This window comes from Homo sapiens, chromosome 3 (genome assembly GCF_000001405.40).
Source record: "Homo sapiens chromosome 3, GRCh38.p14 Primary Assembly".
Lineage (NCBI taxonomy): Eukaryota > Metazoa > Chordata > Mammalia > Primates > Hominidae > Homo > Homo sapiens.
This window is the reverse complement of record NC_000003.12, coordinates 133,836,167-133,863,110: the sequence shown is the minus strand read 5'-3', so window position 1 is coordinate 133,863,110 and position 26,944 is coordinate 133,836,167. Positions and strand designations below refer to the sequence as shown.

Genomic DNA, 26,944 nt, shown 5'->3' with positions numbered 1-26,944 from the left:
ACTTTGTCTTTGTTGTATCCTCTCTGGGCCAGGGCTTTGTAGCACCAAGCCTGTCCTCCTAATGAGGGGAGTTCTACTGGATCGGTTTGAATTCAAGATGACAGCTGCAACAGACTTAGTTCTGAAGTCTGACTTGGTATTCATTTATTTTTGTGCATGCATGTGTGTGTATGAATGATCTCATATATTATTTTGATTTCTTACTATTAAGTTACATATAATGCTTCTTGTTAGTGTCCCATTGAAAACAGTGAGACTCTTGGTTGGTTGGTGTTCTTGGCAGTGGCAAGGGGGTGACAAAGGGGGCCCCCAGGCCTGTGCAGTGGGTCCCATTAGTATGGATCAAAGCCTCATCTCCTCCCCATGTCATTCAAGTTCCTCAAAATCTCGCCCTACCTCCATGTTCAGCGTCGTCTCCCATTGCCTACTGCTTGTCCCCCATCCTGTGGTCCAGCCGACTTCCCTGCTCCTACTGCCCTTGGAGTGACACTGTTATGCCTCCACACTTTGACTCATGTCATTGCCTCTGCCGGAATGCCCTTTCCTCTCTTCTCTGCTGCGAGAATTCTCTGGATGCATCAAGGCCCAGAGCACATGTTTGGTCTGAGCAGCGAGGCCCTTTCATCCTCTGTCCCCTCCGTGACCATCTTTCCTATAGCATCATCCTCAGGGCTGGTTTAGCCTCTCAACTGTGCAGTAGCTCCTGTGTGCATCTGGCTCTGAGCTGGGCTCTGTGCTTGGCTGAGGCCAGGACCCTCTGGGACCCACCACTGCATTCATGAGTCTAGCACAGGGCCTGACCATAGTTGGTATCACCAGTGCCTGCTGGCACACACACAAAAAAAACAGCATGGAGAGTTGGCCTCGGGTTTTAGACCCATCAGATCAAGAGGCCTCAAGGACCCAGTGTGGTGACAAGAGGAGAGAAACCTCAGAGAGGACTGCCCTCCCCATCGCAGGCTTTCTCTTTTTTTTTTTTTCAATATTGCAGCAGGTGGAATTCCTTTCCCAGTGCTCTTAAAAATGGTAATTAGGCTGGGAGACCAGGGCTCCAATTCTGTGTATACAGAGGCTCATTTTAATGAATTCTCTGGAGATGGAGAAGGGGAAATGTTATTTTGTTTGTTTTTCCTAACATGGTGGCAGAGGCATTCGAGAAGTAGACAAGATCCCCAGGGTCTTTGGGGATTCAGCTTACCTCACCCCAAGTTGTGCCCCTGCACAGCAATCACTCCCCACCACCCCTTCAGACATCCTTCCAGCAGTACAACCTGGCAGAGCTGTCTTGCCTTGATTGGCTGAGGTGCCCAGACAGTTCCTAGAATGGAATCTACCCCTCCTTCCCTCTTTCCATCCCACACTTTCTGTCTCTGGCCCCACTACTCCCCTCTCGTTCACTCATTCTGACAAAAGATGTTTGTCAAATGCCTACTCTATGTTTGGAGAGGCAGAAGAAAGTGGCCTGGCCACAGAATCTGGCCCTGCCTTCAGCCAGGGCATGAAGGACAGGGAGGGGGCGTTTAACCCTATCCTCAGTGACAGCTGGTGAGTTCTTTCTCGGTCTAAAACTGAACATGCAGGAGACCCTGAGGGGCTGGCATGAGGACCTGGGTGTGTGGAGCTGGGTTCTACAGACCTCTCAAGACTTTTTGTCCACCTGGTAGGCCCCGTGAGATGCCTCAGGGGAGCAGGTCTTCTACCTCCTCTTGCCTCACACTTACCTCCTCACCCCCAAACACACATACACACATGTGTTCTCATGACACATGTACTCTCTGGCCTCTCAACACCCTGCCCATCACCTCATCTAAATCCACTCACTTGAAGAAGTAAAAAAACAAGAGTCACAGCCAGATGAGATTCATGTCTGCAGTGGTTCTCTCATATAAAACCCCAACTAAGTAATTTTCAAAATTTATGATAGAAAAAAACCTTCCAGTATGTGCATTGTGATGAGACTTGGCTGTCTTTGGGGCCAGCCCCCTTCCCCTTCTGCAGGCCTGGTCTGTGAGCCGCCTGTGTGAAACCTGTACTCATGCCACCATGGAAGGGTTCAGCCTCTGCAGGTGCTGCTGGGGATGGAGGGGGAGGATTTGGTGGTAGCAGCACTCTTCTCCGGTCTCTCATGGGCCCTCTATCACTCCTGGCTGCCTGTTAGCATCACCTTTTGCGAGATTCACGGGCTCGGGTATTAGCATGCTTAAAGCCTCAGCAGTGATTGTGATGCACTTAGAGCCACTGGCTTGTCCCTGGGCCTCACACCATGGCACAAATTAGGAAACCACTGACTTAACGGGCTGTCCCTGGGAGCAGGTCCCTGGCCTGCCAGAGCTCATCCAGCTGCTCTCAGGAGGACACACTCTCAGAGTGGAGGAGCATTTCTGGAGGCCTGTGAAGCTCTGCCTGCGCTGGATCCTTTCCTGGGTCCCACAGAGCCTGGGAACAGAGTGGCTGCCTCCTTGCCCTCCCAGGCCAAGGGGTTGCCTGAGATGCTCTGGCCTTGCAGGTGATCCTCACTGCATTCCTGCCGCTCCGCCCTGAGGCTTTCCTCTCTCTTCTCCTGGGGCTGCCTTAACAAATTGCCGCAGAGTGCCTTAAAACAACAGAAGTTTATTTTCTTACTGTTCTGGAGGTTGAAGTCCAAAATCAAGGCATGGAGGGCCTTGTTCTCAGAAGGCTCTGGGAGAGAATCCCCCCAGCTTCCAGTGCCTCCGGGCCTTCCTCGGCTAGTGGCTGTATCACTCCACTCTCCGCCTCTGTCTTCAGCAGGCCTCCTGTCTCTCTGTGTCCTCACCTCTTCTTAAGAGGACACCAGTCACTGGATTTAAGGACCCACCCTAAATTCTGGATGATTTTTTCTCTCAAGATCCTTAATTAATCGTATGTCCAAAACTGCAATTTTCAAATAAGCTCATATTCTGAAGTTCCAAGTGGGCATGAATTTGGGGATGGATACCCTTCAACTCTCTCCAAAATCCTAGTACCTCCCAGTCTGATCCCAATGGGGACTGGACCTTCTGGCCTATTCCTCAGCTTGGGCACCTCCGCACCCCCCAGCATAGCCCCTGCAGGCTCCGAGCCCCTCCGGCCCTTCACGTGCCTCCTGCCCAGCATCTCGACCTGGTGAGGCCATTTCCCCCGGGATCCTTTCTTGGCCACATGTCTTTTTATTCTCACAAGGTGTCTCCAGATCATTTCTTTGTGTAACATTTTGTACGTTGATTTAATGAAATAAATATGAGTGTTTCCTGGGGCCTGGCCATTGTGTCTGCAGGCCACTTATCTGGCTGCTCAGCCCATAAATCAGCACCTGCCCCTCCCCAGTGATCTTGCCCTTCTGAGAGGAGCTGAGCTCCACACACAGCACATCCCAGCTGCTTAGGGAGGGGACAAACAGGAGAGGTCACTGTGCATGGAAGGCTATGCTTTATTCAACATGGTATTTGGTTCTCTGCTATCTCTTTCCAGGTCAGCACATTCTCAGGTGGCCCAGGGGGTTGCCAGCCTTGGCAGCATGACCTTAACAAACAGAGACTCGGGCCTAAAAAGCCCTCGCACTGCCTTTGCTGGTGTAGGTGAGGTAGGACCCAATGATGAAAACAGACCTGAGTGGGGATCAAGCCAGAAGGTTCCCCGTGGACACACTCACACACTCATGGACACTGGACCCTGACACCCACCCCCAACCCAGGAATAGAAAAGGGGCGTGAAAAGAGACACCTGTAGGACTTCCGGCAAGATTCTGAGGTTACTGAGCACTTTTTTCTTGGTGTAATTTTCCATCATCTAGACTTTAAGACCTACATGAGCTACGGTTTAAATATAAATTTACAGCTGAGGGTGGGGGTTCACACCTGTAATCCCAGCACTTCGGGAGGCCAAGGCCAGAGGATTGCTTGAGGCCAGGAATTCAAGACCAGTCTGGTCAAGATAACGAAACCCTGTTATTATAAATTTTTTAAAAATTAGTTGTATATAGTGGCATGAGCCTGTGGTCCCAGCTACTCAGGAGGCTGAGATGGGAGGATTGCTTGAGCCTGTGAGGTCAAGGCTGCAGTGAGCCATGATCATGCCACTGCACTCCAGCCTGGGTCACAGAGCAAGACCCTATTTCAATCAGTCAGTCAATTAATAAATACATACATACATACATATTTGCTACATTCCTACCTCTAAAGTAGGCCACTGGTCTAGATGATACAGGGGTTAAATTCCATCTGATTAATTTCCAGGTTAAAAAAATGCAGTACTAAGACGCTGAAAAGCTCGGCATGTTGGAGTGGAGGGCAGTAGTGGGGCCTGTGAGTGGGCTGTTGGCAGGGCTGCATTTTGACTTTCATGGGCCTCAGGCATTTCGCTTCATGGGCCCTAACATGGGCTGAATTGTGTCTCCTCAAAATTCCTGCATCGAAGTTCTGGTCCCAAGTATCGCAGCATGGGACTGTAGATAAAGATAGGGTCTCTACAGAAGTAAAATGAGATTATTAGGGTGGCCCTAGTTCAATATGACTGGTGTCCTTATAAGAAGAGGAGATGAGGACATTGACATTCACAGAGAAAGACAATGTGAGGACACAGGAAGGGACAGCCATCTGTAAGCCAGGGAGGGCCTCTCAAGAAGCCAATTGTGCCTACACCTCAGTCTCAGACTCCAGCCTCCAGAGCTGTGAGGAGATGACTGTAGTTGAAGCCATCCAGTCTGTGGTACTTTGTTATGGCAGGCCTAGGAAACAAATACAGGTCTCTTCCTTTAAAAACATGTTAAGAATTATATTTTTACAGCTACATTGGTATAGAGATGAATGTAATTCAGGCTGGATTCATTATAATTATAGTCATTTCTTCTCCTGATTTTAAGAGAAATTAAAATGGAAACATTTTCCTTGGCCCTTAAGTGTCTTACGGGCACTGGGCTCTGTGCCCCTCGTGCCTGGTGGGTGAGTTGGCCCCAGTGACTGGGACTGTGGAAGGCCCGAGGGCGGGTTGGGATCCCTGGGTAGGAAGGGTGCGCCATGGAGGGTTCCTGACCCAGACACTGATGGGATCAAAGATAAGGAGTTTGTGGGAGGCAGGCCTGGAGGGGCTGGGCCGGGACCAGGGGTGGCAGCTGAGGCGGGGCACACAGACTCAGATACAGCTGTGTGTGGAAGGGCAAGGAGGGCAGGGGCAAGGGAGGAACCATGCAGGGCTGTGTGGGAGGTGAGCGAGGGCCCTAGGAGAGATGGCACAGGAAGTGGAAGGGGCCAACGAACAGTGTGTCTGTGGGTTACATAGAGAAGAGGAAGAGGCCTGAATGCGCCCCAGGTTTCTGTCTAGAAATGCTGGAAGAATATCAGTGCCATCAATACAAAGAAAAAGGAAGAGTCCAGTGGGAGGTAATGATCAAACAGCCAAAATGCTTGCAAATGGCTGTTCTATCAGGCCAGCCTGTGAGAGACTGGGCAAATCTAGATTCCTAAAGCCCTAAAAATGGGTGCGTTTTCTCTAATGGAATGTAGAACGGAGGCAGAGTGCCAGAAGGGATCTTTTACCCACAGAATCTAAAATGCCGCACGTCCCCAGCACCTGGGGGAGATGGGACAGGATCTTCTGCCCTGGTAGAGGTGGTCAGAGTGAGGGCACACGCCAAGGAGGATTCAGAATGTCCCCTATGCCTCAGTCCTTTTTTTTTTTTTTTTTTTTTTCCCTTCAAAAAGAGGCCTAGGTTTAAGCCCCAGGTTCAAGTCCCACTTCGCTGGGAGACCCTGGCCGAGCTTTTTAGTTTCTTAGTATTACTCTTTTTTTTAAGCTGGAAATTATTCAGATGGAATTTAGCCCGTCTATCACCTAAACCAGTGGCCTTAAACTTTGGAAGTAGGAATGTAATTAATTTGTATTTGAACTATGGCTCATATAGGTATTAAAGTCGAGGTGATGGAAAATTATGGGCCAAAACCACTGTTGATAGAAATGTGCATTACTGTACAGAAACCCTGCAACAAACCAAGATAATAGTGATAAAGTGAAACAAATGACAACTTTCCACAGTGTCCCGACCATCCCTGCATGTGCACTTGTGCTGTGCTTTGCAGCTCTGCCAAATGATGCTCAACCCCATAGACTTCGGGCAGAGCACTGGACTGCAGTCCTCGGTTAACTCTAGCAACATGAGGATATTTTTTATATTAATAGAGTAGAGTTTCATTTTTTGCAGACATTATGTTCTGGGGTCACAATATGAGGTGACACTCTTATGTCGTGAAATCTGAATGCCAATCACTCTGGCAAGATGACCCTGCCTCAGAGACCCACTGGGGCACTGCAAGTCATCCAGGTGTTCCCTCTGAACATTGACCCGGCAGAAGATACTCCAGGCGTTGGACTTTTGAGGGCATCTAAGAACTTACTTATGGTAACTACAAAATGAATTAGGAAAGATTACTAAAGCCTGGAGCAGAGAACTGCATCCTGAGTCCATTCCACTCATTAAATGTATCAGGAGCTACTGGTGGGCTCACCCAGTACCCATTGGCAACCTCCTACTCCCTCGCTTGATTAGAGACTGTAAAAGCTAAATTTGGCTTTCCCAGCCTCTCTAGAGGCTAAGAGTAATGATATGACTCAATTCTGGCCAATAAGACACAAGCAGCAGTCTGCTTGGGGGGAAGGATTCCAGGGAAGCTCTTGCTTGCTTTTTCTGCCTTGAATGTGGATGTGATGTCTGGAGCAGCAACAGACAGTCTGTACAAAGATGAGAACCCATGGGCCACGACAGCAGAACAGAATAAGCAATAGTCCAGGGGCCTGGTGTACCACCACTCAGTGTGCCAACCACACTGCCCAGGCTCTAACATCCTTTCTTTCTCTCCCTCCTCTCCTATGTCCTCCCGTCCACTTCTTTGTCAGCACATGCAAATTAGAAATGTAGTCCCCTCCTAGTACAGAAAGCTGATGAACAGTGGCATAAATGAAGGAGAGTTTTAATTTTGTAGGTGCAAGAAGTCATGTGGTTGGCACACTGAGTGGTGCTACCATCAGGCCCCTGGACTATTGCTTTTTCCATTCTGCCGTCGTGGCCTGTGGGTTCTCATCTTCGTGCGTGCTGGCTGTTGCTGCTCCAGACATCACATCCACATTCAAGGCAGAAAAAGCAAGAGCTTCCCTGGAGTTCCTCCCCGCTCCAGCAGACTGCTTCCTGTGTCTTATTGGCCAGAATTGAGTCACACCATTACCGTTAGCCTCTAGAGAGGCTGGGAAAGCCAAATTTAGCTTTTACAGTCTAAAGTAGTCAAGCAAGGGAGTAGGAGGTTGCCAATGGGTGCTGGGTGGGCCCACCAGTAGCTCCTGATACATTTAATAAGTGGAATGGACTCAGGATGCAGTTCTCTGCTCCAGGCTTTAGTAATCTCTCCTAATTCATTTTGTAGGTTACCATAAGTAAGTTCTTAGATGCCCTCAAAAGTCCGACACCTGGAGTATCTTTTGCTATAAGAGTTGAGGGGAGGGCTGGCACACATGAATCCATTTGTCACCCTTTGGGAGGCCTCTCAGGGAGCTTCAGGCCACACGACCTTGCACATTATGGGTAGCTTTTGAAGGGACCCACTGATATTGATGAAATTTAACCTTATTTAAAATTTGAAGGTGTATGTTGTTTTCAGACCACAGTCAGGAAATAAAAGAGCAATCACATATTTAAATTGGGTGGTGACTAAAGTACAAGCCACTCTCCATTGGGAGAAAAGTGGCCTCCAGGACCATACAGACTTTGAAACTGAGGTATCTGGAAGAATGCAAGTACCCGTACTGTGGCCTTCTGAGCCAACATCCCCTCCCCCAGGGCGCATTACTGCGCTTCTGGCAAGGATATGCCCAGCCTATTTGCCAGAGACTGCTGTCTCATCTCTCCAAAGCACCCACTTGCCAGTCTGGAACCTGAAGTTTCAGCAGGCTCATTTGCAAGCTAATTTACATGACTTTACCCTGATACTTTCATTTAATGGTTAGTGGTGCAGAGCACAAACAGCAACTTCATTGTCAAAGGCTTGTCATGCCCAGCTGCTTTCTGCCACTTATGGATGCTTCCCCAGCCCTGGGCCCAGGCCTGGCCAAGGCTAAAAGAAGACGCACGTAACATGCCTTTTCATTATTTCTTTTCCTGAGAAGAGAATCTTGAGTCAATTTATGCAAATTACCATGCAGATTTCCATTGCAGACTTTATTACTGTGTCTTGTCAGAATGTGGAAACAAAATTGTATTTCATAATAAATGCACATAGCAAAGAAGACTTCAACAAGTGCCTCAGGAAACGTCTCTTTCCTCCGGGATCAGCTGGGCCAATGGAAGCTTCTGTGCAGAAGGAAGCATGTAATGTACTGTCATTCTGCACTGTATGTCTGAACCCCTGTAGATACTGTTTAATACCATGTTCAGAAGAAGATAAATGTGGATTCAGCTATGAAATCCATGCTCATAAGATTCCTCACATTTTGTATAAAATGAAGGGCCTGCCATTTCTCATATACAGTGCTGTTTGTAAGCACAAAGATATTAAAGGAATAAATAAGCATTGCCAGGTTTGGAGCAATCTCATCCCAGCAGAGTGCAGCTCAGCCTTCTGAGAGGACATGGTGCAGTGCAGGAGGTGTGCCCAGCACAGCCGAGGAGGGAGAGGAGGGTCATAGGGATCGTGGACTGGCTGGCAGGAAACTCCCCAAGGTCAGACCTGCTGCTCATGCTGTGTTGATATCCTGCGTTTACATCCCTGTAAAATAGTTACCAGCAAAAATAATTTGCTTTGTACCTCACAAGAGAAAATGAAGTTCAGAGAAAGAATGCTTTGACCAAGACTCCATGGCAAGCTAGAAGAGGGAAGTAGTCTCCTTTAGAACCCGTCTCTCTGAAGGTCAGCCTTTCATGAGGCTCTGGGAATACTCGGTTATTGAGATGTTTGTAGGGATTGCAACCACAAAGGTTCCTAGGGCAAAGAAGCTGGGGAAACATTGGGTTCGTGTTTCTTCAGTGCAGAACTCATCAGAGCCTTTTATTTGCCAGTGTGCCTTATGAGAGGCTTTACTAAAGAGGCTATCTACTCAGGGCTAGAATATGTAGCCTTTCCCAGAAATACTTGATCACCATTTACTTTTGTTCCAAAGATGGTCTCATGGGGCTGTGTTTCACATAACCACACTGAGAAACATTGCTGGAGAGTCTCCATGGGGTGGGTTCTACAGCTTCTCTTAAACCTCTAGGTCAGTCGGTCACTAATAACAATTCATAATCTTTGTTTACGCAGCATATCACAGAGTATGCATTATCTTCACTTTCTCTAACTCATTTGATCCAACAGTCCTTAAAGGAAGCTGTGACTTTTCATGTATTAGAGATGAGGAAGCCAAGGGCCAGGGAAGCTAAGCCATTTTTCCAGGACACTCCCAATCCAGTGTTGGTGTTGGCAGAGCACTCAGACCTTGCCAACACTGACAGAGGTCACCAAAAACAGACTGGGGCTCCCTTGGCATATTACCCCATCCAAGTATGTTTGAGTGGGGCACTCTGCCAGCTGCATGGCCATTCCCCTGGGGCAGGGTGCATGGTAGCTCCTGTGGGGCTGGCTATGGTCTGTCCTGGGGAGCATTGACAGGCATTCTAGATTTGCCGGCAGACATATGCTCCCCATCCCAAGGGCCTGTGGAGCGTCCTCTTCACCTCAGCTGCCTGGCATTGCTGGGCTATGTGCATATCATGGATCTGGGCTTTATCTTCAAAGAAGAAATGACTCCCTCCCTACCCCCACACTCTCATACCCACATACACATACTTCTACATGCAAATAAATACATAATTACATACACATGTGTATCCCCACTCATCCACGTGTCTGCTCACACACACTCATACCCACCTTCCCATCAGTACACACTGTGGCCTGTGGTGACCTTTGAGATGAAATGTACCCTGTGGCAGGTCACAGGAAATCACCAAGGTTGCTGGGGCCTTTTTCAGGAGGATATGGCCTACCTGGGTGGCTAGTTGTTCTTTTTGTCTGATGTCCCCATATCCCTCCAAAGTAGGAGCCACAGATATGACTGTACTACAGATGCAGAGGAGGAAAAACTAGCATCGGAAAGGAAAAGAGGGTAGGGGAGATAGCTATAGCAGAAATACTGCATGGAGCTCAGCATTTACCTTTGAGTTTCCTGGTGGCTGGAGGGAAAGGAAATACCATGCATGGCTCCCACATACTAGTGGCAAAATGCTCCCAGGCTTGCATTTTGAGCCAGATATTGCTAACACTTGAACAAGGTCACGCAGTAAGGCAGGGAGAGTGGTCAGGTTTAGAATCAAGGATTTGCCAGGCATGGTGACTCACGCCTGTAATCCCAGCTCTTTGGGAGGCTGAAGCGGAAGGATCACTTGTGCCCTGGAGTTCGAGACCAGCCTGGGCAACATGGTGAGATCCCCATCTCTACAAAAGAAAATTGTTTTTTTAATTAGCTGGGCGTGGTGGCACACTCCTGTAGTTCCAACTACTTGGGAGGCTGAGGCAGGAGAATTGCTTGTGCCAAGGAGGTCGAGGCTACAGGGATCTGTGTTCATGCCACTGCACTCCAGCCTGGGCAACAGAGTGAGACCCTGTCTCAAAAAAAAAAAAAGAAAAAGAAAAAAATCAGGGTTTCTCTGCCCCAGCTTACAAAGAGGTATATGTAATGGCTTGGCAGGTAGGGCATCTAGTGACAGTGTTACCAGCAAGATAGAGACTTTCCTCACATGATGATTTGTGATACAGACCCTCACAGACCTCCAAAGTGCAATGCCAGCATAATCTGGCTTACTTGCTGCTAAAACCATCCTGGAGAGTGTGGACAAAGCAGCCTAGGCCCGTGGTCTCTGAGGATCTGATTTGGCACAAGTCTGAGACTAGAGTACCCAGCAGAACAGTGGTAGACACAGCTCTTAGACAGAGCCCCGCAGCCCCGGGAATCCCAGGAGCACCATTGGCTTTGATGCTTGGCAATCTTGTATTGGCTGGTAAGCCCAGCTGCCTCGCAAAACCACGCCTGGACCACGCTCATTCCCTGTGACGAGGAGAATGCCCATCAGTGTAGATCTAACTTTGTGGCTCTCCATGGAGGTGGCATGAATGACACCCAAGTGTGGTCGTTTCTCATTAGTTCTAGTGGTGTGGTTGCAGTTGCTTCCAGAGAAGCAGCACCTTGGGCCATCCTTTAGTGGCTACCCTAGCTGGGATGTGCTCCAAAGGAGTCAGCCCATGAAGGTCGTCTTTTATTTCATCACCCAAAGCCCATGATTTATCATCAGAGAAGATGCAAATTAGTTCCTGTGACCTCGCTGACTTGCTATGGGACCTCAGGCAAGTCACTTCACTTCTGTGTGGCTCTGGCTTATCTGCAAAGTGTAGTTAGTGTTCCCAGTCGTGCAAGCCACTCCCCCCTTTTCTTGTTAACAGTACCTTATCTTAGTCACCCAGCCTCTCTACATCTTTCACACCCATGGAGTCCTGCCTCTGCTTCTTGATATCACTCATGTGTCCTCCTTCCTTCTCACTCTGCTCTTCTCTGCCCACACCTCTTTGCCTGTCTAGGCCTTTGCAGCAGGTTCCGTTTTGTCTCCCTTGCCTTTATCCCATTCACTATCCTTCAACCAGGGTTATCTTTCTAAAGCCCCAGCTACATGGAAGTCCCTCTTCTTTGGTCGTTTATCAGTTCTTTGGCTCCATCCTGTTCTCTACAGGCAATTCACAGTCCATTGGTCCTGAATCATTTTTGTTTTTCTGAAGAAACTGTGTGGCTTCACACCTCAGGGTGTACTGAAGCCATCACTTTTATCTAAAACAAACAATGTCCTGCATTGACCCATGCATGTATTTACCATTTCTGATGCTCACAATTTCTTCCAGAGAATTCTAGTTTCCATTAGTATATTTTCCTGTCAGCCTGAACAGCTTCCTTTAACATTTCTTGTAGTGAAGTTCTGCTTGCCACAAATTCTCTTTGTTTTTGTTTATCTAAAAATATTTTTATTTCTTCATACTTTTGAAGAGTATTTTTGCTGGATTTAGAATTCTGTTTCCACGGTTTTTTTTTTTTTTCTTGAACACTTTTATTGTGTCATTCCAGTGTTTTCTAGCTTCCATTTTTTTCCAGTATGGCAGCCGTCATCCCTGTTATTTCCTTGCGTGAGGTGTGTCATTTTCCTCTGGCTACTGTCAAGATTTTTCTTTATCTTTGATTTTTAGCAGTTAGACTCTGTTATGAATAGACATGTGATTTTGTTTCTTTATTTTTTTAATGTAATGCTTGGAGTTGGATGAGTTTTTGAATCTGTAAATGTGTCTCATTTTGCACTCAGAAGACTTTTCACCATTATTTCTTTAGTTTTTTTGTCCAATTCTCCATCTCCTCTACTTCTGGGACTCCAGTTAAACATATGTTAAGCTGTATGAGGCTCTGTTTATGAAATTTTTCTCAATTTTTTTTCTCTTTATGCTTCCTTTTGGATAATTTATATGATCTATTTTCAAGTTCACTGACTATTTCATTTCTCTTTTTGAATCTGTTGTTTCAGATGTATTTTTCAGTTCTAAGTTTGTATTTGGTTCTTTACTTAGAGTTTTAGTTTCTCTGTTGAGATTTTTAAATCTGCGCCTTTATTATGAGCTTATTTTTATATTTGAGCATAGTTATATGAACTATTTTTAAATGCTTGGCTATTTTCAACATCTGGGTACCTCAGAGTTAGTCTCCATTTAATCTCTTTTTTCTTGAATATGGCTGACATTTTCTTATTCATATGACTAGTAATTTTGGGTTATACATTATGTTAAAACTGTGGATTCTGTTTGTTCCTGTGAAGAGTACTCTTGGTTTTAGTGGGCAGCTAAATTGTCTGGACCCAAATTCTCAATTCTCCCCCCCGTGGTAGGCAGCAACTGAAAGTTATGTTCAGATTTTTTTGTTTGCCTGTTTTATTTTGTTTTCAGTCTTAGGTAGGCTGCTTAGGGTCTGCTTGGGTCAGTCAGAGATTTGGGTAACATTTATATGGAGAATTTGGGGTCACCTCTCTGTATCTATGTCACTTCCAGGGTTTTCCACACTTTCTGGCTGCTGTAGTAACTTTGCAGATTGTTCTCTAATTTCTCAACCAGTAAGACTGTTTGTGCCTTATTTGAGGCAAATAGATGATGTCAAAGAGCTAGAAATTTTCTGGTAACTGAGGCCCAGCCAAGGCCCTCTTAAAAGTTCTTGTTTCTATTCTGTCCTTAGAGAGCTGACTTTTCTCTTCTGGGAAATGAACTTCACCTTAAGTGGGCTCTGCTGAACTATTATGGCTGATGACCATAAGATTATGACAGTAGGTAGCCAGATAGTTTGTGACCCCCAGAAATATTCAGTGACAGCTTCAGGGTGCATGACAGGTTCAGAAATGAAGGGATTTCAGGAAGGAGAGGGAGTACAACTGAATAGTCAAGAGCAGGGACTTTGCATTCAGGGAAACTGATTCTGACACTACTGACTGTGTGACCTTAGTTCTGAGTAAGCCTTGCTTTCTTCTGTGAATAGCACCTTCTCATGCATAAGCATCTCCCTCTTGTCTCTCACCCTGTACAGGGCATCTGCCACTCCTGGACAGCACAACCTCCCCAGACTCTGATTACAACAGAAGGCAGTTTGCAAACTTTACTGCACAAATGAGTTATCTGAGGGCTTGTCTGGAATTCTGATTCCCAGAGATTGTGATTCTGTCTGTCTGAGTGGAGCTCAGGAATCAACATGTTTAACAAACTCCTGATGTGATTCTGATGCACATGACTCGTGGGCTACATATTGAGAATCATTGAATCACTGGCCAGTGGGAGAGATTGATTAGTATGAGATCTTTCCAGTTTAACAGAGAAAGTGTTAAATGAGGGGCCCTGGACCAACCTGAGGGCTCAGAAAATGATTTGTAGAGGAGGTGAATCTTGAATTCTGAATAAGTATAAACCATGTGGAAGAGCATTCCAGAAAAGGGGACATTATTAGAAAAGGCCCAGACATACAAAGCAACTTGTTTATGAGGAGTTCTGTACAGAATATTATTTCTAAAATATAAAGTGGAGGCTGGTCAAGGAGGGAATGAGTCCATAGAATGCCAGGGGCAGGCCCTGAACAGCATTATAGGCCAGCTTGAAGTGTTTGAGCTATCTCTTAGAGGCAGTAGATCATATTAATATGATCATATTAATATTTCAGAAAAATAACCCTGTGCAATGGTTTCAGTGTCACCACCAAAACTCATATTGAAATTGAATTCCCATTGTGACGGTATTAAGAGGTGATCCTAGAAGGTGCAGCTGCTTTAAAAAAAAAAAAAAGTGGAGCCTTTAAGAGGTGATTAGGTAATGAGGGCTTCACCCTCATGAATGGATTAATGCAGTTATTGCAGGAGTGGGTGGTACCATCGGAGTTTGGGCCCCTTTTTCTCTCTGTTGTGTGTTCACTTTCCCTTCCACCTTCTGACATGGGATGACACAGCACAAAGGCCCTCCCCAGACACCAGTGCCATGTTCTTAGACTTCGCAGCTTCCAGAATTGTGATAAGTAAATTTCTTTTTAAAGTAAATTATCCAGTCTGTGATTCTGTTACAGCAGCAGAAAATGGACTAAGACATCCTGCCTGCTACATGAAAGATTAATTACAGTGGAAAGCATGAGGGATAGTCAGAAAGCTGTTGGTGTTATTTAGGTAAAAGAAGTTCAGTGTCTAAACTAGGGCAGTGGTGTTGGGGATGGAGAAAAAGGGGGCTGGGTGAGAGCCCTTAGGAGGCCAAGCAACCAGTTCAGTATTCATTTGATGTGAGGGAACAGACAGCAAGTGAAGAGGAGCAACTCAGGAGGGCTTTCAGGCTTCCAGAGGCGTGGGCGCCTGGATGGTCAAGGTGCCATTTATTGAAATAGGAAAAATAGCAGAAGCAGGTTTGGAGGAAGATGATAGGCTCTTTTTGGAATATACTATATTTAGTCAGCTGTCTAGTGGATAATTAAGTGGGATTTGTAGTAAGTAGCTGGATGCATAGATTTGGGGCTCAGAACAGGGGTAAGTCCTGGGTTATAGATTGGGAACTGATCAGTATATCATATTTGAAGCATCGAGAGTAAATGAGATCCCCTCTGAAACAAAACAGTGGAAATGCCAACATTTTAGGGAAAGAAAGGAAGAAGATCCTAGAAGAGAACAATAAGGAACCGCAATTAGAGAGGCAGGGAAAGCCAGAAACAAGTAAAGTCGTGGAAAGCAAAGAAGAAACAAATGCCATAGAAGAGGAATGGTCAGCAGGGTCAAGTGTGTTGAGTCTGGACTATACAGTGTCCTCATGACTTGATAATCAAATGGCTATTGGTGACCATAGCAAGAGCTATGGGCAGAGGGACAGAAACCAGACTGACCTAGTTGAGAAATGGGTGGGCATAGAGGAAATGGATACAGTGGGTTTGAAGTCCTTTTCCAAGAAGCAAGCCCATTGAGAAGAGGTGAGAGATTGGCAGATGGCTAGAGAGCAACTTAGTGAAAATGAGGGATTTTTCCACTCAAAAGATGTGAGAATCTTGAGAATGTTTCTTGGATGAAAGGAAAGAGTGAGTAGAGAATGAGAGACTGAGATATAGAAGAGAAAGGAGATGGCTGAGAAAGCATCATCCAGAGAAGGCCAGTGCCAAGAGGGCCTAGGAAGAGGCTTTCTTTAAACAGGAGAAATAACGAATACTTAGAGCCTGGAGGCGTGTGGGGATAAGGCTGGACATATGTAGACAACTTTGCAAATACCTTTTGAATCTTGACTGCAGTCTCAGCTGTGGACATTTGACAAGTCGCTTAGCATCTCTTGTCTTCCATTTTCTTAGCAGTGACACAGAATACAGAAGAGCCTAACTCATCACATAGATTTATTGTCCAGATTAAATTAAGTAATGTATTTAAAGCAGTTAGTACAAGAGCTGGGAAATGATAAAGTGCTGAGATGTTGTTACTGTGGATGTCATTGTTACTGTGATAGGACGCAATCAAGGACAAGTAGCGTGTTTTTATATTTGCCCATAGATTTGCCATTTCTGGTGCACTTGTATTCCAGCCTTGAAGATTCTAATTTCCATCTACAAAATTTCTCTTTAGCCTAAAGCATCTCTTATAATGAGTGCATGCTGGTGACAAATTATGTGACTTTCCCTTATGTGAAAATGTTTATGTTTTGTCTTCATTTTTGAAGAAAATTTTCACCAGCTATAGAATTCTAGGCTGACAGGGTTTTTGTGTGTGTGTCTTGTTTTATTTTTTAAGCAGTTTAGAGACGTTGTTCCCTTGTCTTCTGTCTTCCATTGTTTCTGATGATAAATCAACTATAATTCTTACCATTGTTTCCTTGTATGTAATGTGTTGTTCTGTTTTCTGGCTGCTATTACGGTTTTCTCTCTACTTTTTTATTTTCAGCAATTTGACTATGACATACCTTGGTTTGGTTTTTTACAGATTTATCCTGTTTTAGGTTCACTGAACTTCTTGGAACTGTGGGTTGATGTTTCTAATTAAATTGGGTGAAGTTGGGGGCTATTCTCAAGATGTTTTTTGCTTGCATCTGTTTCTACTGTCCTGAGACTCTAATTGCATTTTTTGTTTTATTATTTTTTGGGAGACAGAGTCTCACTCTGTTGCCCAGGCTGGAGTGCAGTGGTGCGATCTCAGCTCACTGCAACCTCTGCCTCCCAGATTCAAGCGAGTCTCCTGCCTCAGCCTTCTAAGTAACTGGGATTACAGGCGTCCGCCAAGATACCTGGCTAATTTTTGTATTTTTAGTAGAGATGGGGTTTCACTGTGTTGGCCAGGCTGGTCTCAAACTCCTGACCTCAGGTGATCTGCCTGCCTAGGCCTCCCAGAGTGCTAGGATTACAGGCATGAGCCACCATGCCCAGCTTCCAATTGCCATTTATGTCAGCTCACTTGATATTGTCCTAGGAGTGCTTGAAGCTCTCTTTATTTTTATTCCATCATTTTTCTCTCTGTGCTTCAGTTTGAACAATTTATTTTGGCCTGTCTTCAGGTTCACTGAGCTTTCCTCTGCAGTGTCCTAGCTACTGTTATTTAAATCCAATGCATTTTTATTTCAGATATTATAGTTTTTAGTGTTAAAAATACCATTTTGTTTTGTTTTAGAATTTTCATAAATCTCTTGACAGTCACCCATTGTATTAATTTTTAATTTTTTTTTTTACCTATTTATAAGAGTTTTAAAGTCTTTGTCTACTAATTCAACATTTGGATCATGTAGGGGTCTGTTGAGTTTTTTCCCTTGATTATGGCTTGAATTTTCTGTTTCTTCACATTTCTAGTCCTTTTTTATTGTACAGTGGACCTCATGAATAATAAGTTATAGTCTTGGATTTTGTTACCTTCCTCTGAAGAGTGTTGTTTTATCTTAATAGGCAATTAAATGATGGGCAGTTAATATTTTTTAGGGAATGGTTAGTTATCATGTATGGACCTTGTTAAGACAGATGTCTTCATCCATTCAGGCTGCTATAACAAAATAGACTGGGTAACGTATAAGCAATTGACATTTATTGCTCACAGTTCAGGAGTCTGGGATTTCCTTCCAAGATCAAGGCTCCAGCAGATTCCGCATCTGGTGAGGACTTGCTCTCTGCTTCAAAAATGTCACCTTTATGCTGTGTCCTCAGTGGTGGAAGGGACGAACACTGCGTCCTCACATGGCAGAGGGGAGCCAGGGTGCTCCCTTAAGCCTCTTTTATAAGGGTACTAATCCCATTCAAGAGGTCAGAGTCCTCATGACTTAATCCTTTCCCCAAAGGATGTGCCTTTTAATACTATCACATTGAGGATTAAGTTTCAGCATTTGAAGTTGAGGTTACAGGGGACACATTCAGACCACAGCGATAGATTTATTTTGGTTTTCTCTGAGTCCTCTGGTGTAACCCTCAGTCCTGAGATGATCTTGTTCCTCCCAAAGCCAGCCTTTCTGGTGTTTCAGTGGAGTCTGAGGTGTTTTTGAAGTTCTTTTAATTTGGTGGGACTGGGGAGTTTCGTCAGGAGGCAAATTGATTTAATGTAGAATCTGCCTAGTTTTCTTCCATTCCTTGAGCGGTTGTAACTCCTACCTACTTTTTTTTTTTTCTTTTGAGCCAGGGTCTTGCTCTGTTGACCAGCCTGGAGTACAGTAGTGTCATCATGGCTCACTGCATCCTCAGCCCCACCAGCCTCAAGCGATTCTTCCCCTCAGCCTCACAAGTAGCTGGGACTACAGGCAGGCACCACCACACCTGATTAATTTTCATTTTTTATTTTTTGTAGAGGCAAAGTCTCACTATGTTACCTAGGCTGCTTTCAAACTCCTGGGCTCAAGTGATCCTCCTGCCTTGGTCTTTCAAAGTGCTGGGATTACAGGCATGAGCCACTGCACCCTGCCTCGTCCTGCTTTTGATCATTCTTCAGTGCTTGCAAATTGTTATTTCTTGTATTTTTCCAGATATTAAAATAGTTTTCTGTTGGAGGGTTTGTTTGATACAAGCCACTCAGCCATTATTGAAAGCAAAACTTAGGAATATGTTTTTGAGCAGAGCTGAGGGCTCAGTTACACCCAGAGACAATGCCTATGCTTTGGCGCCATCTCCACAGCTATAGAAGTTCTTCAGTGGCTCAGTGGCCTGGTCAGATGGAGAGTGTGGCTAGAACAGGTCTGAGAGAGTGGACAGTTAAGGGACCAGAGGTTTCTCTGTTGGGGAAGCTGGAAGCAGGAATTAAGAGAGAGCTGGAGAAGATGGGATGTTGGCCTTGTTCAGGTTCCTCGTTGCTGCCTCTGGTTAGTCTGTTATGGGATGTGAGAGAAAGTATGTGGATGTTCAGTAATGGTGTTTATGATTATGGAGGCCACTGGGTTGAGCTTTGCTGGGACTTCATCCAAGTGGCACAATTTCTTGTTTCATTTGGTGACTTCTCTGCCCTTTGTGGAAGCAGAAGTGCCTTGTGACATGTGAGGTGTGATGGGGTTGTCATCATTACAGTTATCAGTAGCATTACCATCAGGTGCCTACCTTTGAGAGATACGTTTCTCCATGGTTCTTTGCTTGTTAATTAGGCTATGTTAACAGAAACCCAAAATAACAGTGACTTAAACAAAATAGAACAATCTGAGCAGTCCAGCGCTGCTGAAGTAGCTCCTCAGGGTCAGGGAGTCAGCCTTCGTTGATGTCATCGCTCCTCTGTCATCCTCATCTGGATGGGCCACTATGACTCATCCCCACCGGACAGTGGGAAAGGGAGCAGCTGTGGGTACTCCCTACCCACAGAGGACCTGACCCCAAAGATGCCTACATCACGTTCACATCCCATTAACCAGAATGTAGCCGCCCAGCTGCAAAGAAGGCTGGGAAATATGTTCTTTATTTGGGGCAGCCCTGAGTCCATCTGCACACCCAGAATTCTGTTACTATAGAAAGGGAAACTACATACTGGGGACAACCAGCAGTCCCTGCCACCAGTCCTAAGCTCATGCACCTGGTTTTAGTTCAAAGGTGACTCTACAAAAGGAGCATGTCACTCCTGGGGAGCCTGTTGAGCATTGAGGAGTTGAGAGACTTCTACCTGCTATGCACATTTCTCCATAAGGGAATCAGAAGACAAGGATTGTCAATCTAACATACACCTGTGAAGGAAAAAGTCTGCATCCACAAGCACTGGTCATTGCAGATTTGTGCCTCGGTGGCTACACTATGCGAAGCTGTGGTAGAAAGAGCCCAGGTGCTGCCAAGTTTGCAGCTCTGATCTTCCCAGCCCTGCTACTGATGAGTGAAGTCACACTAGGCATGTCCTTTAACCCTCTGGTCTGTTCTTTCATCTCCAAAGTAAGGGATTGATTGGATTGTATCTAAGGTGTTTTGTCTAGTGCCCACATTCTAGCATCGTATGCTCCAGAGCGTAGAATGACCCCCCATATCTTTGTGTTATGAGGCAAGCTTCCAGGAGGGTGCAAGCCAGTCTCAGTCCTTTGTGGAACGAGTTGGGAGTGTGACTGTGTAAACATGCACACTTGTGCACACACATTGGTGCATACCTTTGCATTCAGCCTGGGGGGACTGGAGATATGACCTTTTCTATTTTCTTGGGCTTCCTTTGGTTGTGTTTTTTGCAGTCAAAAATCATGGCATTCCACACAATTAAACTTATTTATTAAACTTTATTTCAAAGGACTTTTTCTAATTTTAGTACTGTTATATGTTCATTGTGGAAAGTAGAGAAAAGTGTAATGAAGGAGTGTAATGAAGGAAAGAAAATGCTCTGTCACTATTCAGACCGTGATGCTATTAACATGTTAGCAGATTCCCTTCACTTCAGTGTCTAAGAAAACATGAAAAATACTCATAGATCTATTTGAGTTAATCTAATTGGGATCACTCGCCACATGATGTTTTATAACCTGTTTTTTGTTTATTTGTTTTTTTAACTGGATAACCGTTTCCCCAAATCCTTAAATATTTTTTCAAGAATGTGATTGTTAACAGCTGCCAAGGGTTCTAATCACATGGATATACCACACTATGCTTATTTAGTGCCGTGGACATTCAGGCTGTGTCCAAGTCTTTGTTATTATTGATTACATAGCAGTGATATCTCCATTTTACATTGACAGCATCTCAGTCCTACTGACAGGTACCGGGTGCCTGTGAGGCCCAGAGAGGTTGGTTGCCTGCCCAAGGCCACACAGCAAGTGAGTGGTGGGTCCTGGCCATCTGGCCACAAGGCTGGCTGCCTCTCACAGGTGCCAGGGCAGAAGAGGCATAGGTGTGGCACAGGGGAGCTGGTGACAGCTTCCAATGTTTTGGCTTGGGGAGAAAAGAGCCAGTGGGGCCTCCCAGCGAGAGGCCACTCTGGGTGGTCTGCAGTGCCCGCACCTGAGAAAAGCCATGCTGCTGTTTGCACCCACACAGCAGCAAGCTGCCTGCTCCTGCCCCCTGCCTCCCACCCTCCCGAGGTCAGTGTTGAGCCCAGGCCCATGCTTTAGGGCAGAGGGAAGAGGCTTTGGAAGCTGCAGGTTAGGCCATGAAGGGAACAAGGCAGGGAGTCCAGGTGGGGAGGGCAGGATATGTGCGTTGAGTGGCCTGAGTGGCCTTGCTCCTGGGGAGGCCTCCTCACCACTGCGCTCTCACTGCTTCTGAAGCACTTGCCCTCTCCAGAGAAGATCTCACCCTATAAAGGCCACCCTCATCTTTCCTCAGCTTGATCCCTCAGTGAGAGAGCCGCTGAGTGGTAGCAGGGAGGGGCAGGGAGGACAGAGCATGGCCACATTAGACCTGACATGAGCGTCCCCTCTTGCTGGTTATGCCACCACCTGTGGTCGCTAGGCTTTTGCCCCTTTGCATGAGACCTTTTGATTTTGACCGTTCTGTGCTTTTCTCTAACAGGCAACCATTGGGATTGACTTCTTGTCAAAAACCATGTACTTGGAGGACCGCACGGTGAGCACCTAATATCAGGACTGGGAGGGGCAGGGAGGGTTCCTTTGGGCTTATCCCCTAGGACCCTTAGCTGGGCACCACTGAGAGCACCTGCCGACACTAGGGGCTGGAGCTGGTGATGCCAGCATTGCAGAGCCCGGCTCTCCCAGTCCCCCGGACCAGGAGGACCTCACTGCCCCACTGACCCCTCTGCCCATGGTCCTGCCCTCCCTGAGACAGGTGCGACTGCAGCTCTGGGACACAGCTGGTCAGGAGAGGTTCCGCAGCCTGATCCCCAGCTACATCCGGGACTCCACGGTGGCTGTGGTGGTGTACGACATCACAAGTGAGTGAGGCTCTGCTCCTAAGGGAGGGTGGCTCATAGGGGGTCCAGGGCCCAGGTGTGACCCTGGCCAGGCCTGTGTGCATGTGTGTGCACACGCATGTGTGTGCACACGCATGTGTGTGCGATTGCTCCCTGAATGCAGAAAGGCAGGGAGCAGTGGTGAGTTGCCTTTGAACACCAACATGGTTTCCACTGCTCCCCACCCTCCTGCAACCGACAGGGGTTTATAGGGCCAGGTTGGTCCTGCTCGGAGTGGAGGCCAGCTTGTGGTGTGAGCAGATGCTCACAAGGTTGGCCCTGCTCCAGCCTCTCTGCACCCTCCCTCTCCCTGGCTGTCAGAAAGCTCCCTAAGGAGCTACTTCTATATGTGTGTCACCATGGGAGAAGACGCTGGTCCCTAGGCCAACCCCGGCCCAGCAGCTGTGGGTGCAGGACTCCCTGGGAAGGTAGGCAAGGGGGTCTGGAAGCGCAGTAGGCTGGTAACCCTTCTCCAGTACTGTGGCTCTTCAGGCCAGGGCAGGTGTTCTTAACAGGACTGCACAGCCTCAAGGGCGCACAGGGCCAGAGGTGGGGGTGGGGGGCCGAGGCAGAGGCCAGACCTGCAAGGCTCTTGTAATGGAACACACCTGATAAGCCCTCAGGGCTGTGGTTACCCTGAAGTGGGCGAATGCCCTAGGTGCTGTCCACAGCCTTAAAAATCACACAAGGAAGCATGCATGTCCCCGCGCTGGTGCATGCCCCCGCCACCCAGCCTGCTGCCCTGGCTCTGCCCACCCCTTCTGTCCACCTCTCTTCTGACCACAGGCCCCCTCCACACCTGAGTGCAGGTGGGAGCTGGGCCCGCAAGGGCCTGGGTTCACATGGCCTGAGGCACATCAGAAGGGATACCAGGCTGTGTGAAACTGAGGCTTCTGAGGACAGCTACCTCCCCTCCCCTTGGGTGTGCAGGCTGCCGAGTGGTGGGTATTGCCTTATAGCTGCTCTGCCCTGCAAGGCCTATCATGGCAGCTGAGGGGGGTCAGGCTGCCCAGAAGTGGCCTTGTCTCTCCTGGATTTTTGAGTGCACCTGGCTCCCCTGACTAGTCCCGGGGCCACCTTTCCCCTCCTCTCATCTGCAGAGCCTGAGGGTTCTCTTCAGAAACCCCTCTGGCCTTCCCCAAACTCTCCTGAGCTCCCATGGTGGGGACACCACTCAGTAGGGCCCTTCCTTCCCTAGAGGCTGCTGTGTCCTCCTCTGCCCACCCTCACTGTTCCCAAACTTGCCAAGTCGCGCGCGCATGTGTGTGTGTGTGTGTGTATGCACACACACGTGTGACCCAGTTCTCACTCTCCACTCTGAATCCCCAGAGTCAGGTCTCTCAGGTGGGCCCCTAAAGCCACTATTCCATGTGGCAAATCATGACACTGTGATCTTCCAGATGGGGTGATTCCTCTCCCACAAAGGGTGGCTGAACAGTGCAAGTGGCTCCCCAGGGCCGCAGGGCAGGGCCCGGTTCCCTCTGAAAGGCCCTACCCAGCTGATCTGTGTTGACTGAGCTCACACCCCTCCCTGGGTATCTGAGGGCACATGCTCACCCTCCCTCCTGCTCCTGGCTCACACCTCCCCTTCCCATCTCCCACTGGTGGCTGGCCCTGGCTTTCAGTTTATCCTCACTTTCTGCCTCCAGATCTCAACTCCTTCCAACAGACCTCTAAGTGGATCGACGACGTCAGGACAGAGAGGGGCAGTGATGTTATCATCATGCTGGTGGGCAACAAGACGGACCTGGCTGATAAGAGGTAGGTGCAAGGGCACACAGGTGCAGGGTGCCACCCTCCACTCCTCTGTAACTGCTCCTGGACAGGGAGCTCTGGGATGCATGGGTGGTGTGTCTGTGCTTCTGACCATGCATCCGGAAAAGGTCCCTTGAGACACTAGGAGCTTTGAGGACACCTGGTAGACTCTCATCCATGGGTATCTCATCTGTGAAGCCCTGTCTTCCACCACCAGGCAGGGGCGGGGCACTTCTCCGTTTGCTGTCTACACAGAGCACTGTGCACCTGGCTTGACCCAGCAGTGCATGGTCTAAGGCCCTGCCATGGCCACAGCCCTGCCCCAGACACAGCAGTCCTCTAGGCCCCAGCGTGTGCACTGTGAACTGTCTGTGCCTGTGAAGTGTCTGCACCAATGTGCGTGGGGCTGTGAATGCCCTGGGCCCTAGGTGTGAGCATGCAGAGCATTCAGACCACAAACCTATGGCCGTAGCCTGCTTAGCCTGGTTTGTGGCTGCGTCTGGCATGAAGCTTTCTCTGAAGAGGCTCCTCCATGCTGCCCTCCATGCACAGGGAGAACTGAGGTGCCATGTGTGTACATTGTCCACTCATTTTACATGACCCTGACTTGGGCAGATAAAGTGACAGGCCATGGACTCCAGCAAGCAGTGTGGGCTTCCTGCAGCGTCCCTTGACCACCTGAGGAATCATCTGAATTAGAGCCTGCTTTACTAGAGTTCTGTCCTTAAAGTAAGGAAAACTGGGCTCAAATCCCAGTACAAAGGGTACCCAGGCCCTTCATACCCTCACCCACTTCTGCCTGCCCCATCATGGAGCCCTCTCTGCTAAGTAGCTTTGTGGCCCTGGGGGAGACACTTTTAGCATTAGTGTTCTCACAGGGAAAATGCGACTGATAATACCACCCAGAGTGGCACTGCCTGGCTTGAATCTCTTCATAAGCACAGGCTCTGCAGTAGTGACTACTGGGAAAGGCAGGTATGGGGCAGCCCTACCCCAGGGCCTGCTTTGAAGCTGAGAAGACACAAAGGAAGGAGTGGGGGAAGCGGATAGTGTCCTACTGTTCCCTGGTGCCTGCTTTGTGCTAGCGAGACTGTGGTTGGTGCCCGGGAGGGACCCTTGGGATCAGAGCCTGTCTTCAGGACTGACCAAGGGCCCAGTGGGCTCCCTCTGCCCTGCTGGGTGGGTCCCTCCTCATATCTGCCAGGGTCTGCTTCTCTGCTGAGCTGATTTCCCCCCTTCCCCTCATCTCTAGGCAGATAACCATCGAGGAGGGGGAGCAGCGCGCCAAAGAACTGAGCGTCATGTTCATTGAGACCAGTGCGAAGACTGGCTACAACGTGAAGCAGGTGAGGACACACCTGGCACGGGGCCCGGCACGGGGCCCGGCACGGTGTAGCCCTGTGGTCAGCTGCAGGCTCAGAGCTGCCTTGCCCTGAAGGGCTGGTGATGGGATTGGGGCAGCCAACCAGAACACCCATAGATGCGCCCAGGGAGGGGAGAGCTAATTTCCGGAGCTGGTAAAGCCCAAAAGAGGGAGGGACCACTCCGGGCATGGCATCTGGAGAACATAAGTCACCAGCCACCGTAGTAGTTGCCAGTCACGGCCCACGTAGCAGGCCCTAAGAGTGTCCAGCCACCAGCTTCCAGGAGGCTGAGGGAAGCAGTGGTTCCCTAGCCCCTCACCCCACTTTGGATGACAGGTGCAGGAAAATTCAATCTGATCAGCATTTGGGGTTCATGCCTTGCGCTTAGCAAGTGCTCAGGGCTGTGGAGGGCAACTCAGGCCTGGGGGAAAGAGCCTACCATGATGTGGTTGGAACTCACAGGAGGGCGAGGCAGTGGAGTTAGGGCTGAGCCTTGCAGCATGAGGGCCCCTGAGTAGTCCATGGGTGGAATTTAGCAGGTCAGCAGACAGGGCTGGAAAACATTGCACCTTTATCTTCACTAACCACTGACCCGTCCGTAGCACTGAAGGACGTCTGATTTGTCCTTCAATGATGAATGTAGGCAATGACACTCAGTCACATTAGCAGTGCCTATGGCTTTACCACCAATAGAAATCACAGATGCCTTCCCATCACCTCATAGTGTTGCAGGTATCTTGAACTTCACATCTATCAGTGTTTCAGCATCACACTACTTATTAGATCTCTTGCTAGTTCTCGCTGTTCAATGTGTTTCATAAGGAAGCACAAATGTCGATGAAGTTTTATTTCAGTACTCAGTAGTCCCCTTTATCATCCTATGTAATTGATTTCACATACTTCAAAGGAGTCCATAGGATTAACCAGATTGCCAGAGGGGTCCTTGGCTCACGGAAGGGTTAAGAACTCCTGCCGTTGGGGATGAGAAGGACTTGGAGAGGTGGTGAGGAGGGAGGGCATGCCAAGCAGGGGAGCAGCAAAGGTGTGGCTGCAGGGTGCCCGAGGTATGGGGAGGGGACTCTGGGTGAGGAGTGTGGTTGGCCTGGCGGTCGCTTCTGCCCTGCCACCCCAGCATTGCTGGGAACCCTTGGCAAGCTGTGTATACAGCACTGGCCTTCTGGATGCAGTGATGGTTTGCCCTGTGTGGACAGTGCTGGTGGCAGTGGGGAAGGTGGGCTGGCAGAACGACAAGAAGAGACAAGAAGGGTGGAAGGGACACTATGTGACACTGGGGGCCCCAAAGCTCCAGGACTCAGTGCCCCACCCTAACTAGAGTGTCCTCATCAGGGCTTCACTCACTCCCATCTGTTCCCAGCCTCCCTTGGTGTGGGGCTGAAGCTGTCATGGTCCTTCCTGCTCCCTGGGGGCATGCAGGAGAGACTGGGCTGCTACTCTTTGGGAGCCCTAAAGTCATGGGAAGCAGGGAAGCAGAGGGAGGGCAGGGCAGCACCAGGAGGTCCATAGGGCAGGTAGCATCTGCCTCAGCCGTCAGGGTCAGGGAGGCACTGATGCCCCTACCCCCAGAGTGCTCTGGAACCCATGCAGTGGTTTAGCAGGAGTTAAATGTGGTCAGTTTCGAACCCTGTGTGGCTCAGAGGAGTGTCCATGCAGTGCAGACTCCTGGATCTAAATGTGAGCATATCCACTCACAGAAACCCATACCTGACCCTAGAAACCCATACCTGATCCTAGAGCACCCTTCAAAATCCCTAGTGGCATTTTGGCCACTAGTAGAGGCTGTGACTGTTTTGAGAGCCAGACAGGCAGATCAGAGCCGCCCAGGGCCAATGCCATGAAGGAAAGCTCAGGAAGGATGGCCTGGGCCCTTTTACCCTTGCCTACTAATGGCTACCCCACTGCAGAGCCTCCTCTGCAGCCCGCCCACAAGGGTCTCACACCATGCTGGGCCCACCAGCAGCTT

The 26,944-nt window shown here is 48.2% G+C and overlaps 1 protein-coding gene across 2 annotated transcripts in view, besides 3 other annotated features; it reads left to right on the top strand.

The window, feature by feature from the left end:
* RAB6B (RAB6B, member RAS oncogene family) overlaps positions 1-26,944 on the top strand; it is a 71,648-nt gene that overhangs the window by 32,772 nt on the left and 11,932 nt on the right. For both annotated transcript variants that reach the window (NM_016577.4, NM_001363953.1), the window contains 4 exons: positions 21,448-21,501; positions 21,721-21,826; positions 23,494-23,605; positions 24,852-24,945. In NM_016577.4, the coding sequence (NP_057661.3) occupies positions 21,448-21,501; positions 21,721-21,826; positions 23,494-23,605; positions 24,852-24,945 (366 nt within the window). The remainder of the gene's footprint in view (positions 1-21,447; positions 21,502-21,720; positions 21,827-23,493; positions 23,606-24,851; positions 24,946-26,944) is intronic.
* Positions 5,163-5,777: an enhancer, noted in NCBI's record as "H3K27ac-H3K4me1 hESC enhancer chr3:133576178-133576792 (GRCh37/hg19 assembly coordinates)". NCBI's record gives its function as "activates a minimal SCP1, AML or CMV promoter by ChIP-STARR-seq in primed H9 embryonic stem cells {active_cell/tissue: H9 hESC(primed)}" and the evidence as "EXISTENCE:reporter gene assay evidence [ECO:0000049][PMID:30033119]".
* Positions 7,736-8,237: an enhancer, noted in NCBI's record as "NANOG hESC enhancer chr3:133573718-133574219 (GRCh37/hg19 assembly coordinates)". NCBI's record gives its function as "activates a minimal SCP1, AML or CMV promoter by ChIP-STARR-seq in primed H9 embryonic stem cells {active_cell/tissue: H9 hESC(primed)}" and the evidence as "EXISTENCE:reporter gene assay evidence [ECO:0000049][PMID:30033119]".
* Positions 22,739-23,239: an enhancer, noted in NCBI's record as "H3K27ac hESC enhancer chr3:133558716-133559216 (GRCh37/hg19 assembly coordinates)". NCBI's record gives its function as "activates a minimal SCP1, AML or CMV promoter by ChIP-STARR-seq in naive H9 embryonic stem cells {active_cell/tissue: H9 hESC(naive)}" and the evidence as "EXISTENCE:reporter gene assay evidence [ECO:0000049][PMID:30033119]".